Source organism: Homo sapiens, chromosome 4, assembly GCF_000001405.40.
Source record: "Homo sapiens chromosome 4, GRCh38.p14 Primary Assembly".
Taxonomy (NCBI): Eukaryota; Metazoa; Chordata; class Mammalia; order Primates; family Hominidae; genus Homo; species Homo sapiens.
Window position 1 is genome coordinate 1,736,870 of NC_000004.12, and position 15,191 is coordinate 1,752,060.

At 61.7% G+C, this 15,191-nt stretch overlaps 1 protein-coding gene and 1 long non-coding RNA gene across 25 annotated transcripts in view, besides 1 other annotated feature; one reads left to right on the forward strand and one right to left on the reverse strand.

Annotated features, from left to right (window-relative positions):
• TACC3 (transforming acidic coiled-coil containing protein 3) overlaps positions 1–8,302 on the forward strand; it is a 24,541-nt gene extending 16,239 nt beyond the window's left edge. For 11 of the 24 annotated variants that reach the window (NM_001441319.1, XM_017007653.2, NM_001441316.1 and 8 more), the window contains 8 exons: positions 372–459; positions 729–833; positions 2,833–2,909; positions 3,090–3,133; positions 3,957–4,117; positions 7,649–7,755; positions 7,843–7,963; positions 8,079–8,302. In NM_001441319.1, the coding sequence (NP_001428248.1) occupies positions 372–459; positions 729–833; positions 2,833–2,909; positions 3,090–3,133; positions 3,957–4,117; positions 7,649–7,755; positions 7,843–7,963; positions 8,079–8,144 (769 nt within the window). In that variant the 3' untranslated portion in view covers positions 8,145–8,302. Of the gene's footprint in view, positions 1–371; positions 460–728; positions 846–1,478; positions 2,448–2,829; positions 2,910–3,089; positions 3,134–3,612; positions 3,855–3,956; positions 4,118–6,525; positions 6,669–7,648; positions 7,756–7,842; positions 7,964–8,045 lie in introns of those variants that run through there. The other 13 variants (NM_001441305.1, NM_001441306.1, NM_001441318.1 and 10 more) reach the window with 11 other exon arrangements.
• LOC112268460 (uncharacterized) lies at positions 1,723–3,957 on the reverse strand. Its single transcript, XR_002959774.2, has 2 exons — positions 3,851–3,957; positions 1,723–3,749 (listed from the first exon to the last, which is right to left on the reverse strand). It is a non-coding gene; the product is annotated as an uncharacterized LOC112268460 (long non-coding RNA).
• Positions 11,953–12,152: a silencer, noted in NCBI's record as "silent region_15142". NCBI's record gives its function as "represses an Ori minimal core promoter by ATAC-STARR-seq in GM12878 lymphoblastoid cells {active_cell/tissue: GM12878}" and the evidence as "EXISTENCE:reporter gene assay evidence [ECO:0000049][PMID:35858748]".

Genomic DNA, 15,191 nt, shown 5'->3' on the forward strand with positions numbered 1-15,191 from the left:
ACTGCACTCCAATCTGGGTGACAGAGTGAGACCCTGTCTCGGAAAAAGAAAAAAAAAAAGGCTCTGAGCTGTGAACAGCCCCCTGATGAGGCAGCACTGGCTCCGCTCAGCCTGCAGTGGGTAATGAAGCGTCACCGTGCTCTCCCGGAAGGACAAGCAGCCACGTGGGATGGGCAGGTGAGGGAGGGGGGCACGGAGCAGCAGAGAGGCCGGGCATGCTGGATGCGGGTCTGCGTTTTCTACCACTACCCTGACTTGAGTGGTTTTAAACTAAAAAGCAAAGAGCCCGGTTAGCTTGTCCACATGGTCCTCTGTGTCCTACTCAACACTGGGAGGGCCTAGTGACTGAGGCTGCCTCTGCTTGGTGGCAGCATGCACGGTGCAAATGAGACTCCCTCAGGACGTCCGCGGGAAGCCAAGCTTGTGGAGTTCGATTTCTTGGGAGCACTGGACATTCCTGTAAGTCCTTGAGTCCCTCTTGAACTGTCTTGTGTGTGGTCTGAGGGAACGAGTTGTTTTAAGGGCCTATATTTTCTATTCCTGGGGGTCTGAGCCTTTGGTTTTGTTGGGGGCATGGGGCCGCTGTGCTGTTCCCTCGCCGCACTGTCTCGGGTCCCTCATGCACTGTCTGAGGCTCTTGGCCTGTGTGGGCCTTTCCTCCCTCACACTAGGTCAGAGGTAAGAGGCAAGGGCGAAATGGGTTCCTGTTTCATCCCCATCTCCCGCAGGTGCCAGGCCCACCCCCAGGTGTTCCCGCGCCTGGGGGCCCACCCCTGTCCACCGGACCTATAGTGGACCTGCTCCAGTACAGCCAGAAGGACCTGGATGCAGTGGTAAGGACGCAGGTAGTAGCTATTCCACAGAACCTGCAGGCCGCTCTGGGGCTTGGCCAACAGTGGGCAGGGGTCCAACAGCCTGACCCGCCATCCCTGCCATCCCTGCCCCTGCTGGTTGGGGTGGAATTGCAGAGAGCTGCCGGCCCCTGGCCTGTCACTACTGCCCAGGTCGCTGAGGGTCCAGGCTTCCACCCAGTGTCCCCGCAGTCAGCTGCCCACCAGCAGCCTCCCCGGGACTCTCCGGCCTGGGCATGGCGTTGGCCTCTGGTGGCCTTGCAGCAGTGAGTGTGGTTCTTGCTGCCGTGAGCCCGAGTGTCGCCCCTTTCCTCCCGCCCTCCCACGAGTCCAGACGCATCTCCTGGCAGCTTAGGAAGCTCCATCTTCACCCACCCCACATCTGAGGGTCCCGTGCCTTGTCTCCCTCCATCCTCACTGTACATGCCAGGCTTCAGCCTGTTCTAACTCCGGGCCTAAATTGTCCCTAAGAGAGCTGTAGGCACACAAAGGGGCTGGGTGTCTGCAGGCACCACTGTGAGCTACCGTCGCCAGATGGTCCCCAGGGAGGTGCAGACAGGGTGGTTCCGGAGGCCGGCTGGCAGGGCTGGGTTCAAGCCCCAACATCCACACCAGTGTTGTTCACAGTGGCCCCAGGTGTCATCTCCGCAGAGGCCTGTGATGTGGCCCTGACCCCGTACCCCAACAACCTCCTTCCCTGTGTCAGAGCCCGTGTGAGTAACCCAATAGCAGGCCTGGGGACCACAGTGTGGCTGGCCCCCTCCTCTGCAGGCCTGGGCTCCGGGGGCAGGTGGCCCCTGCATGTAACTTATGTTAGAAATGCACAATGCTTGTTCTCTGGTGCCACAAAGAAATAGTGCTCGAACATTAATTTTCTCAGCAAGGCAGTTTTTACTTTCTGCAGAAAGGGTGCCCCTCGCAGATGGAGCAATGGCAAGAGCACACCTGAACAAGGGAGGGGAAGGGGTTCTTATTCCTGACACAGGTAGCCCTACTGCTGTGTTGTTCCCCTGTTGGCTAAGGTTGGACCACACAGTCTAAGCCAATTCCAATTGGCTATTTTAAAGAGGGCAGGGTAAGAGTCAGAGTGGTGGGGTGAGTAGTTTGACGGGAAGGACGGTTAGGAACAGGTAACTCAAGGTGACTTAGGTCAGAGCAGGTGACCGGGATGAGTCAGGATGGAGCAGGTGACCAGGGAACAGATGTGAACTACTGATTAGGACTGGCGGGAAAATTGTTTACTGAAACTAGAAGCAAGGGGCGAAGAGAACCAGGAATTTTAAATGGAGAATCAAAGAAGAGATCTGGCCGGGTGCAGTGGGTCACGCCTGTAATCCCAGTACTTTGGGAGGCCGAGGTGGGCGGATCACGAGGTCAAGAGATGGAGACCATCCTGGCTAACACGGTGAAACCCTGTCTCTACTAAAAAATACAAAAATTAGCCGGGCGTGGTGGTGGGCACCTGTAGTCCCACCTACTCGGGAGGCCGAAGCAAGACAATGGCTTGAACCCGGGAGGCGGAGCTTGCAGCAAGCAGAGATCACGTGACTGCACTCCAGCCTGGGCGACAGAGTGAGACTCTTGTCTCAAAAAAAAAAAAAGAGATCTGAACATACTGACTTACTGATTCTTTGAAGACAAACTTGGAGTTCACTATATTTAACACTTAGGACCCCTAGTATCTGCCACTGGGCTGCGGGGGCAGCTGCAGGGACACACACCTGTTGGGTGCCTGCTGGTTCCACCCAGGAGCACAGCCAGCAGCCTCATGCCTCCTGCCCCCTGGCAGTCGGGTGCACGTGGAGCAGGTGGCCTTGGCCTCGACAGGGTTCCCAGGGTCCCACTGGAAGCCCCACATGGAACTGTGCCTCTGGGACATTGCTCCAGGGACCTCGGGTGCGGGCTGGCCCCATCCTGTGGGGAGGTCCTGGGAGGGTCAGTCTGGCCCGCCTGCCTGCTGACTTGGGTGTGGCCTGAGCAGGTAAAGGCGACACAGGAGGAGAACCGGGAGCTGAGGAGCAGGTGTGAGGAGCTCCACGGGAAGAACCTGGAACTGGGGTAAGGAGGCCCCGTCTCCTGTCCTCCCCGTCCCCATCCCCCTCGCCATCCTTGTCCCCATCCCCCTCGCCATCCTTGTCCCCATCCCCCTCGCCATCCCTGTCCCCGTCCCCATCCCCACCTGGCCTGGGACCGCTGGGCACCCGAGGCAATGGCTGTGTGTCTGTTCTCCTCCCACAGGAAGATCATGGACAGGTTCGAAGAGGTTGTGTACCAGGCCATGGGTGAGTGCCCGGGCCACCGAGGCCACGTGCCTCCACGAGGGGCTGCCTATGCCCCACCCTGGCCCTGCCCTGCACCCTGCCTAGGACCCCACCCTCCTGAGGCCCCTTTTCCTAACACACGAGTCCCTTCAACATGGGCCCGGCCGTGGAAGCACTGAGGCGAGTTGCGGGGAAGCTGGTGGTAGTGAGGCTGGTGGCTCCCACGGAGCCAGGGCTTGGCAGGCCCCACAGTTGTGCAGATGCTGAGCTAGCAGTGGGGCTGTGGTGGGAGCAGAGTCTGTCCCGCCGTGGCCTACCCCACTCCACCCTGCCCTCGCCGTGCGGCTATGTCTAGCAGCAGCCTCTGTAGGTGTCTGGCAGGACGGGAACACCAGGCCTCATCTGGCCTCCCAAAAGCTTGGGCTCCTGGAGGTGCTACTGTGGGGATCTGTCTTAGGCTGAGTGTCAGCCGGCGGCAGGTGACCGCCTGGCCCTTGCAGTCCCTCCAGGACCACCACGAAGCACGACGCACATCCTGGAGCTCGCCATACCGGCTCCCAGGCCTCACCCTAGGCTCTAGGGTGTTGGGCGCCGCCTCTTCAGGGACCTCTGGCCCAGGCTCCAGTTCCCTGCGGATCTGATGTGGAGGAAACAGCTGTTTCCTGGGCTTTGCATCCGGCCTAGAAGATCCTGGGTGGAGGGACCCATCACCCTCCGAGGCTCACACCCACTGCCCACCTCTCCTCCTGGCGCTCGAGTCCCTTGCCTCATTCCTTGGGCTGTCTCTGGCACCCATCGTTTCGGTTGCCTCCTCATCCTGAACGTTTGCTTTTCTTTTCTCAAGAGGAAGTTCAGAAGCAGAAGGAACTTTCCAAAGCTGAAATCCAGAAAGTTCTAAAAGAAAAAGACCAACTTACCACAGATCTGAACTCCATGGAGAAGTCCTTCTCCGACCTCTTCAAGCGTTTTGAGAAACAGAAAGAGGTGATCGAGGGCTACCGCAAGGTATGTCTCCGCCACCCTGGTGTCCTCACCTCGGAGGCTGATGGACTCATGGTCCAAGCCAGCGGGGCTACAAGCTGCTGTCTTTGCACCTTGGTCCTTGGCCAAGCCTCCCCTTGCCACGGGGGCATGGGATGACCTGTGAACGAGACAGGGTGCAGGAGTCACAGCATAGCTGGTTTGCGAGGCAGCTGAGGGCGGCAGGAGGCAGAGTGAGCAGGGAGGCCATCTGAGCCGTCCGCTGTTGTGTGACAGACGACTCGGCTATGATCAGGCATCTGTGAGATTTGAGACAGCGCTGGTGCACCGGGGCCTGGGGCACCTCGGAAAGGTGTCTGGGCTGTCCGAGCGCTTGGGTCCCAAGGGTTGGGGACCCAGGGCATGCAGTATCCAAGGCGGGAGGCCCACTGAAAGGTGGTCACGGCTGTGCAAGGCCACCCTGGTGTCCTCCTGGCCACGGGACTCTGAGCGCCCCCCACCTTCTGTGCTGGGCAAGGCCCACATGCTTGCTGGAAGGAGGGATGTCTGGGCCATCCATCTGCCCAGAGCAGGCCTGGAAGGTGCCTGCGAGGCCGCCAGAGGGTTCTGCCCACAGCAGCAATGTTGGAGCGGAGGTGCTCAACGCCTCCTGTGGAGGAGCTGGACCTGCAGGTGCAGCTGGAAGAGGGGCTGTCACTGTTGGTGCAAGGGGGTTGGGGACACCAGATGGGTCCCCTGGGAGTCAGACTAAACTGGAAAAGCGGCCCTTGCAGGGCCTGCTGAGCCACACCTCATCTGAGTCCTGAAGTCAGGTGGGTGTCAGTGGCTGGGGCCCAGCTGCCTAACAGAAGCAAGCCTGAATACTCTAGGGAAGAAGGTATCTTATGCTTTAAATTGCTGCTGCAGTTTTAAATTAGTGTCTGGCACAGAATAACCAAGTGTGAAAGGAACAGGAAACATGAGTGAAAATCAGACCCGTTATTAGAGTGAGGCATGGTGATGTACACCTGTGGTCCCAGCTACTAGGGAGGCTGAGGTGGGAGGATCATTTGAGCCCGGGAGGTCGAAGCTGCAGTGAGCCATGATTGTATCACTGCACCCCCAGCCTGGGCAATAGACCAAGACCCCCATCTCTAAAATTAAAAAACAAAAACAAAAACTGTTGATAGACCCACAGGAGCCCCAGACGCTGGAGTTGGCACCGGCAGGTGGTGCCTCAGGTCTGCAGGGAGCAGATGGGAAGGGCCCTGTGGCAGCAGAGTGCCCACCGGCAGCAGAGTACAGCAGTCTGGCCCAGCACAGACGCTTGGAGAGGCAGGACTCTTCACACGGTGCTGCTGGCTTGAGGACACAGCGGCTTTGCTGACCTTCCCTCAGGTTGGGCTGTGGTGTGAGCAGCTGCCTTGGCCTCGCCTCTCCCCGGGGCAGGCCTGTGCCTCAGCTCCCACTGGCCACCTCCCTACTTCCTCATGGAGGCTCCTTTGCACATCTAATCCCATCTTGGACGACCCAGTGCAGACTTTAAAGTAATTGTCTTCTGTATTCAGAAGAGTATTGCTTCAATAGAGACCTTGAAACTAGAAAAGAATCCCCTTCGGGAGACCGAGACGGGTGGATCACTTGAGGTCAGGAGTTCGAGACCAGCCTGGGTTACATGATGAAACTCCGTCTCCTAAAAATACAAAAATTAGCTGGGCAGGGTGGCATTTGCCTGTAGTCCCAGCTACTCAGGAGGCTGAGGTAGGAGAATCACTTGAACCCAGGAAGTAGAGGTTGCAGTGAGCCAAGATCGTGCCACTGCACTCCAGCCTGGGCGACAGAGTGAGACTCCATCTCAAAAAAAAAAAATACAAAAATTAGTTAGGCATGGTGGTGTGCACCTATAGTCCCAGCTACTCAGGAAACTGAGACAGAAAATCATTTGAACCTGGGAGACAGAGGTTGCAGTGAGCCGATATGGCACCATTGCACTCCAGCCTGGGCGACAGAGCGAGACTCTCTCAGAAAACAAAAAATACAGAAAAACTAGGCCGGCTTATGCCTGTAATCCCAGCACTTTGGGAGGCCAAGGCGGGAGGATCATGAGGTCAGGAGTTCAAGACCATTCTGGCCAACATGGTGAAACCCTTTCTGTACTAAAAATACAAAAATTAGCTGGGCATGGTGGCAGGCACCTGTAGTCCCAGCTACTTGGGAGGCTGAGGCAGGAGAATCAATCAGGAGGTGGAGGTTGCAATGAGCCAAGATCGCGCCATCACACTATGGCCTGGCGATAGAGCGAGACTCCGTCTCAAAAAAAAAAAAAAAAAAGCCTGGGCACAGTGGCTCACGCCTGTAATCCCAGCACTTTGGGAGGCCGAGGCGGGTGGATCACGAGATCAGGAGTTTGAGACCAGCCTGACCAACATGGTGAAACCCTGTCTCTTCTAAAGATACAAAAATTAGCCGGGCATGGTGGCACGCACCTGTAGTCCCAGCTACTTGTGAGGCTGAGGCAGGAGAATCGCTTGAATCCGGGAGGCGGAGGTTGCAGTGAGCCGAGATCATGCCACTTCACTCCAGCCTGAGTGACAGAGTGAGTCTCCGTCTAAAAAAAAAAAACAGAAACTAGAAAAGAACCAAATGGAAATTTCTAACAGGTACACAGTTAACAACATTAACAATTCAAAGGGTACAGGTCAGATGAGGGAAGCAGAGGCTGAGTTGGGAACCAGTGTGTGGACGGCAGCCCCCAGAGCCAGAGGGAGAGACGCCGCTGTGGCGGGAGGCTTGACCTGTGCACACGTGAGAGCTTCCGGATGCCGCCTCCCGGACAGACGCTGTTGGGAATTTTCCACAGCAGAGAAACACAGTGCTGTGGGTTTAAGGGAGGCGTGACCTCCGCAGGACATCAGGGGCTGCATGCTGGGTAGGGGCTCAGGGAGAGGCTGCAGTGCTGAGGGTGCTTCTGGGATACAGGGCTGCGACAGAGGAGTGAGGATGGCTGGGCTGTGAGGCCGCTGGGGGCACTGCAGGAAGAAGGCAGGTAGGCTGAGCCTTCCCAAGCAGAGGCCACTCGGGGACCCAGGAACCCCTCAGTTAGGGCTTCTCAGTCACTGAGCGGAAGGTGCCCCCAGAGGGGGCAGCAGCCTGTGAGGAGCAGGCGTGTCTGGGTAACCATGTGGCTCCTGCTGGCCTCCCCTGCCTGTCCCCAAAGCACAGGGCTCAGCTCCAGAGGGAGACGGGCTGGGCTGTCAGTGGTCCCAGGTGCATCCCACTTTCCAGCAGCACTTGGTGCCAGCAGAGGCTGCAGGTGTGGCAGGAGGGGGCCCAGCCGTGAGGGCACCAGGTTCAGGCCCGGCATCTCAGGGTGGAGAGCCAGGGCTGTCCTGAACCTCCAGAGGGGGTGAGCTGGGAACTTGTGTGAAGGGGCTTTTTCCAAAAGGAAAACGGGAGCTACTGGCTCACGGCTGATGCCCCAGACAGCCTCGAGGATCTGCAGGTCCCCAGACACCAAGCCTGGGTGCTCTCCAGCAGACGGCGTGGTACCCACAGCTAATGCCTGCCCCTTCCTAGAACGAAGAGTCACTGAAGAAGTGCGTGGAGGATTACCTGGCAAGGATCACCCAGGAGGGCCAGAGGTACCAAGCCCTGAAGGCCCACGCGGAGGAGAAGCTGCAGCTGTGAGTGCTGGGCGAGGCCCCACCCTGGAGGGAGAATCTGAGCACCTGGGCCCCAGCTCAGCCTCTGCCCCGCCCCTACCCCTCCAGGGCAAACGAGGAGATCGCCCAGGTCCGGAGCAAGGCCCAGGCGGAAGCGTTGGCCCTCCAGGCCAGCCTGAGGAAGGAGCAGATGCGCATCCAGTCGCTGGAGAAGACAGTGGAGCAGAAGGTGGGTGCGGGAAGCCCAGCTCAAGGGGCCGTCTGGCAGCACCTTCTAGAAGGCCCTTGGGCCTGCTGCTCCCTCCAAGCAGGGAGAAGCCCCGCAACTCATCTTCCTCCTCCAGACTAAAGAGAACGAGGAGCTGACCAGGATCTGCGACGACCTCATCTCCAAGATGGAGAAGATCTGACCTCCACGGAGCCGCTGTCCCCGCCCCCCTGCTCCCGTCTGTCTGTCCTGTCTGATTCTCTTAGGTGTCATGTTCTTTTTTCTGTCTTGTCTTCAACTTTTTTAAAAACTAGATTGCTTTGAAAACATGACTCAATAAAAGTTTCCTTTCAATTTAAACACTGAAGCCGCTCTGGTCTTGATGAAGCAAAGGTTTCCCAGCTCTAGCCTGAGGCTGAGCCGACCCGCAGGTGCCCTCCCTTCCCCTCAGAGCTGGCCACTTGGTCCCTGCCTACCCCAGGCTCAGGCCACCCTGCCGAGGGGCAGGGACAGCCAGTGGATAGAGGAGGCTCAGGCCTGCCCAGTCTGCCCCGGCCACCTCGGGTTGGCTACATGGTCCTGGCCTCAGGTACACACATCAAAGTCCAAATGGACTCGTTTTTTTGTTTGTTTTTTTGTTTTTTGTTTTTTTTGAGACAGTCTCTCACCCACGCTGGAGTGCAGTGGCGTGAACTCGGCTCACTGTAAGCTCCGCCTCCCAGGTTCACGCCATTCTCCTGCTTCAGCCTCCCGAGTAGCTGGAACTACAGGCGCCCGCCACCACGCCCGGCTAATTTTTTGTATTTTTAGTAGAGACGGGGAAGTTTTCATATAAAACAAAAACTGTGAACAGCCAGGCATGCATGCCGGTGGCTCTGATTCTGGTGCCGACCTGGCGAGCCTGCAGCCCCAGCTAATTGAGCGCTCACCTGGGTGTGGGTGTGGAGGGAGGCCCCCTGCAGGTGCAGCTGCTCAGCTCCTGTCGTCCTCGTCCTTGGGGGCGTGGAGACTTCAGAGCAAAACAGGCTTCCCTGAGGAAGTTCTGTCTCCACACGGCAGGGCTTCCTCCCCGACCCTAACCCCATCTCCAGCAGTCCCGTCCTGCGGATCTCAAACTCAGACAGGCACACTGGAACCCAAGGCAGTTCCAGGAGCCCTTCTGGTCAGGCAGAGGCTTGGCCCAGCTGGGGCATCCCGGGAACCTGGGTACCGAGCTGAGAGATGCTGGTCACTGGGTTCAGCCATGGCACCTAGGACCCCAGCACCAGCCAGAGGGCCAGGGCCTCCTGAGGGGCCAGGCAAGACCAAGGGTTGACGCTGTAACCTGTTTCCAGGGGTCGGTGCTGCTGCTGTGCCCAGATCACGCCGTCCAGAAAAGCCGTTTTCTCCCATCAGTGAAGAGTGGGGCTCCCCACATAGGGAGGGACCCAGGCCGAGATCTGGCCGCAGTCACCTGGCCCCAGTAGTGTCTGAGCCTGGGGGTTGCAGTCCCAGGACCTGCTTCCAAGGCTCTGCGAGTCTGCCCCTTGGCCTGGTGAGCAGCACTGCAGTACTGACCTCGGGTGGGCGCAACAACACCCCCAGCCGCCGCCAGGGGTCGCTTGCCGCCATGGGCCATGCAGGGACCGGACCAGGTGGGTGACACCCTGAAGGGGCGGGGCACGGGTGCCAAGAAGCCGCATGGACCGCCAGGGAGGCTGAGGGGCGGGCAGGGGCTTCAGCCTGGGTGGCCAGTGGGGTGTCCCCAAGGGCATGAGGGTGCATTTGTTCTTAGCACGTTTGGAGGAGGGGGCCTGGCACAGGGATGGACGGCCACAGCGGGCCATGGCCAGTCACGGCTGGGGCAGGGACTGGGCCAGCCTCAGGGGGGCCTGGGGGCCACTCCCTCCCCCTCCACAGCCCACCTGTGCTCCTGCGGCACCTCCTGACTGGCTTCCCAGGACCATCGCGCCCCTCCCTCCCGTGGGCAGCAACCCCCATCTCAGCCCCGAGCCTGGGTAACAATAGGGTGTAATCCCTGGCTGAGGGGCCTCTGAGAGCCTTCCGTGGCCCACTTCACAGACGAGAAACCGAGGCCCACAGACCAGTGGCCATTGGCCGGGGGAGACGGGCCAAGCACAGGGTGTGGGCCCCCTCTCCTGCTTGGGGTTGAGGATATGGGGGAGAAGAAGGGCCCTCGAGCCTCCAGAGCTCACCAGCTGCCCTATGGGCAGCACGGCCCGCCTCGGCCTCCCCGCTGCCCACAGGCATGTCCGGCCGCAGGACTCCCACCTCTCTTTGCCGGGTCAGCTCTGCTCTGACAAGGTCTCAGGACACAAGGCGGCTGCCAGGTCCTCCTCCTCACTCAGCCCTGCCGGTCTGGCCTTCTGGCTCCTCTGACAGCTGCCCAGGGCCCTGTCCCCTGCTGGGGCCTCTCTGAGCCAAGCCGGGAGCCTGCCCGGAGAAGGCCGTGCAGGGCGGCTGAACGTGTCAGGGCACCTGGCCGGGCCTGGGGCCGCGCCGAGGACACCGGCCACCAGGCAGCGTCCTGGGCCGGGAGCCTCTCTCCCAGGACAAAGGGGCCTTGTGTGGCTGAATGGGTGTTTATCCTGGAGCCTGAGTTAACTCAGGGCTGCGAGGCCGGGCGGGGGCCCTGGCACTGGCCTGCCTGGTAAACATGACCTGAGCTGGGCACGCAGCCGTGGCCTGGACTTCCGCAGCCCCGGACCCCCTGCACATCCACGCAGTCGCCTTGTGGGGGGCTCAAGGAAACAGGAGCTGTCCTGGGGGCTGCCTCCGTGGGAGTCCTCATACACAGTCATGGAGGCAGCGCTCGGCTCTGCCCTTCCCACAGCTCAGGGCAGGGCTCAGAAACACCCCCCCGACGTGCCCCATTGGAAGGAGGGGTGAGGGTTAGACGAGGTCGTGAGGGTGAGGCCCTGGTCTGCTGGGATTAGTGTCCTTGCGGGAAGGCAGCAGGCCGGGAGAGCACTTTGGAGGAACTGACCCGCCAGCACCCTGATGGCGGACTTGGCGCCTCCAGAACCCAGAGAAACACGTGTCTGTGGTGCAAGCCATCTGGTCCCAGGCAGGATGAGACCCCGCCGTCCGAGGGGCTGTCCAGCCTGGTGCCCACCCACTGCCCAGCTCCCCCTGCAGCCAATATCCAAATCCCGAGGGGAGTGCAGGGCTCAGCCCACATGGAGAAGCTAGGTCTGTGGGGCACCCCCACCCCTCTAAGGCCACCTAGGAGTGGAACCTGCAGCTGCCTCCCTGGGCTGGTCAAGACCCTTTCAACAGGGCCGGTGGGGCTGCCCCTCCAAGCTCACTCCCATGCCCCCATGCTCTCTCCAGGGGCCGCCAGCCACCAGGCTGGATGGAAGAGGGGGTGGGGGCGAGGGAGATAGGCCAGGACAAGCTGACCACAGCCCGAGCGTTCCCTGCCAGGCACCCCTCTGCAGCCCCCACCCTGCCCTACCCAGCCTGAGCCCCGGGAGAGAGTTCACCCAGCCTGCAGGCAGACCCAGATCACCCTCCCATGGACTCAGGAGCTGTCCCCAGCCCAGGCTGAACCCCAGACCCCTTTCGGTCCCCAAGGTCCATGCCAGTGAGGGTCGCTGCAAGCCCACGTGGTTGCCGGAGGTCCCTCCTCCAGCCCATCACTCCACTTTCTGGGAAGGACCCCCGGAGGCCTGGGGACTAAGCCCCGGCGCCGCGCCGGACTGCCCTGGTGGGCTGAGCGCACATCCCTTGTCTCTCTTAGGGAGCTCTGTGAGGGGCAGGACCGGGCCAGCAGCCGCTCAGGAAGCTGGAGCACGTGAGGGAAAAGCCCTGTCCCCACAGGGCTGAGGCTGGACGAGGTCCAAGGAGGGGCTTCTGCCCGAGCCCAGGCCTTCCTTGGGGTGTGCTCCAGTAGCAGGTGCGCGTGCCACCTGTGCCGTGGGTTGGAGGGGTGGAACGTGTACGTCCTGGCTGCCCCCGAGCTCTGGGGACCCCGAACTCCTGGGGCTTCTGCCTGAGCCTTTGGACCCCAACAGCCTGCAGGGGGCGCCATTGGGCCACCGGAGCCCCTTCTGCAGACCCGGCGCGACCGCACTCCTGCCAGGCTGTTCCTACCGCCTGGCCACAGGCCTCCAGGAGGGGCCCCCACCCTGGGGCGACGAGGAGCCACCTGGGCCCGCACCAGGCCTCCCCACAGGGCCTCCCCACCTGCCCCCTCCCCACTGCTCTCCCTCCCCACCGCTCTCCCTCCCCACCGCACCCCCTCCCCACCACGCCCCCTCCCCACCGTGCCCCCTCCCCACCCAACGTGCCCCCTCCCCATCACGCCCCCTCCCCACCTGTCCCCCCACCACGACCCCTCCCCACCTGTTCCCTCCCCCTGCCCCCTCCCCACCACGAACCCTCCCCACCTGTCCCCTCCTCACCTGTCCCCTCCCCACCTCCCCCCTCCCCACTGCGCCCCCTCCCCAATGCACCCCCTCCCCAACACGCCCCCTCCCCACTGCCCCCCCTCCCCAAGGCACCCCCTCCCCAACACGCCCCCTCCCCACTGTGCCCCCTCCCCACCATGCCCCCTCCCCATCTGCCCCCTCCTCACCTGCCTCCTCAGCATAGCCCCCCCCACCTCCCCCTTCCCCACTATGCCCCCTCCTCACCACCCCCTCCCCACCAGCCCCTCACTGCGACTTTGCCTCCCCTCTGTTCCCTGGACCCTGCACACTCACCAGACCCCTGGAGGTTTGTGGAGGGCAGGGCTGGGGACTGGGAGGTTTCAGGCCATGCAGGGCTGGAGGCAGCACACCAGGCACCCTCGCTAGCTGAGGGTCTGGCCTAGCCTGATAGGGGGACTGCAGGACAGGGGGGCCCTGGCAAGGCCCAATCCCTCCCTCCCTACCCAACCCTGCCCAGCTGGGTTCTGGGAACACACCCTGTAACTGGGTGGCTGGGGATATGGCGCTCTACAGCCTGAACCACCAGTGGTACTCACTGGGTCCTCCAACTCTGCAATTCTGCAGGCATGGACCAGACTCCAAGAAACAGCCCCTCGAACGCGTCTGCCCCAGCCCGGTTCCAAACACCAGGCTGAGGCTGCACAGTTTGCAAGTGTGTCAAATGAATGAAGGAACAACTGTGCAGGCTCCAGGAACCCCCACCCCACGGTCCCCGCCCCCAGTCCCCGCCTCCCTTCCACTCAGGCCCCTCCCTCCAGGCCAGCAGGGGTGAGGTGAGGGCTTAGAGCCCCTGCAGACATCAGGGTGGGCGGGGCCCCTGCCCTGTGTCTCCTCTGTCCCTCGATGTCCATTCGCACCCGTCTCCCCAAACCCCACTGACACGGACGGCCCCACCTGGCTGAGCTCACAGGAGCTCTGGGGCCCACTCTGCAGAGAGAGGAGGGGGCGGGGGGATGCACTTATGTTTGCTTCTGAGGGACAGTGGGCAGAGGAGGGCTGTTTGTGAGTGAGACACTCAGGCCCCGGGCCTCTGGACCCTCAAAGAAAGGGTTCCTGTGTGGGCTGGGGGCTGCCTCTGCTGATAAGTGGTGGCCCGGCCACTTGGTGTCCAAAGGCCCCATGTCCGTCCACACTTAGAGACTGGGGATGTGGGAGGCTGTTCCGGCAGAGCCACGGTGTGGACACCATCCCAAGGGGGCGTCTGCAGGGGCGCACCTGTATGGGCAGAGCCGGGGCTGCTCTGAGCCCAAGGGGTTCCCAGAGGGAGTTCCTTCCCAGCCTAGTGGGGTGGGTCCAGGGCAGTGCTGGGGAGGCCAAGCTGCCAGCGTCCCACAGGGGCCCAGCGGCAGAGTGGAGTGTGAAGGCCCAGGGCTTCTGCCCAGGGCGTGTGGTGACCCACCCTTGCCCCCTGCATGCCCGGTGGCTGAGGCCACACCCCACCTAGAGCATCCTGACAGCAGGAGCCCCGCTTGGTGCCAGGCAGTCCTGGCTGGGGTGGGGCAGGTGCCATACAGTTGGCCCTGGGTAGACCCTCACCCCGACCCCCCTGTGCCCACAGTGAAGCCCAGTGTCTCCATCGGTCAAGGTAGAGGTAGAACCCTGAGATTCGAAGGCTTCTCCACACACACTCATTCATTCACATGTCAAATGTGTACTGAGCACCATCTCTGTTCCCTGCACTGTTCCAGGCTCTGGGCATGGCAAGGACAGGACAGTCACAACAGGCCTGTGGTGAGAATCTTCTGGCCGGGGCGGGGTGGGGAGCAGCAGCGTGAAGGAACCAGTAAACACACAGGTGCAGGCACACACACACCCACTCCCATGGAACATGCCGGTTGGTGACAAGGCCGTGGGGGGCTGGAGGGTGAGGAGGAGAGGGAGTAAGCATCTTGGGTGGGTTCCAGATGCCCCTCAGAGGGGTCCTGCTGCTCCCATCAGGGTCCCCTGCCCCCACCCCACGATGGGGGCTCACCCAGCTCTGTCATGCTGTCCGCAGGGGCCCCTGACAAGCTCAAGGCCAGAGGAGCAGAAGCGCTTGGCGGGCGGGGCTGGCCTGCAGGGTCCTACCCTCCCACAGGTGTGGGGCTGCGTCGGGACTGGCCCAGCTCGCGGGGAGCAGATGGGAGCTGCATCCACGCTTCGAGGCCAGTGGTCGGGCTGGGCCTGGCTCTGTGCCCCCTCTAGGACCGCAGGCGGCCCCATGCCCTCTCTGTCCCGGGCCCAGCAACCCTGGGGCTCTTCTGGGCCAGGGAGGTGGCCTCTTTACCCCCAGGGTTCACCCACAACCCCCACCCCAGATGGACAGGGGCCGCCTGGTGGGTGGTCCTGCACCAGGCCAGGCAGCCCGGGACACTGAGTGGGCCCAGGGTGGGGGTACCTTGCACACACACCGCGCTGGGGAGGCCTCGAGGAATCAGAAACACACGGCCGAGCAGCCCAGTGCCACGCCACCAGTCCACAGGCGCTCACCCGCAGCCACCACCAGAGCAGACCCAGACAGCAGGGACCTGCCGGGCGCTCCTCCCTCCACCCGCACCATCCCTGCTGGGGACGTCCATCTGTGTCCCCACCACCCTGCCAGGCTCACTGGCTATCCAGGCCCGGAGGCTCCTGCCTGTGCACCCAGCTCTCCAGGTTAAGGTGCGCCTGCCAAGCAGGGAGCTGCTCCCAGGAGAGTGTCCCCTCCCCAGCCCGAACCTGTGGCCTGGAGGAGCTTGGCCTCCCTGAGGTCCACACCCGCAGAGCTCAGGGGCCTTTGTCACCCCCAATGCTGGTGATGAGGTGCAGGCCCCGGGACAAGGCCATGCTGCTCACTC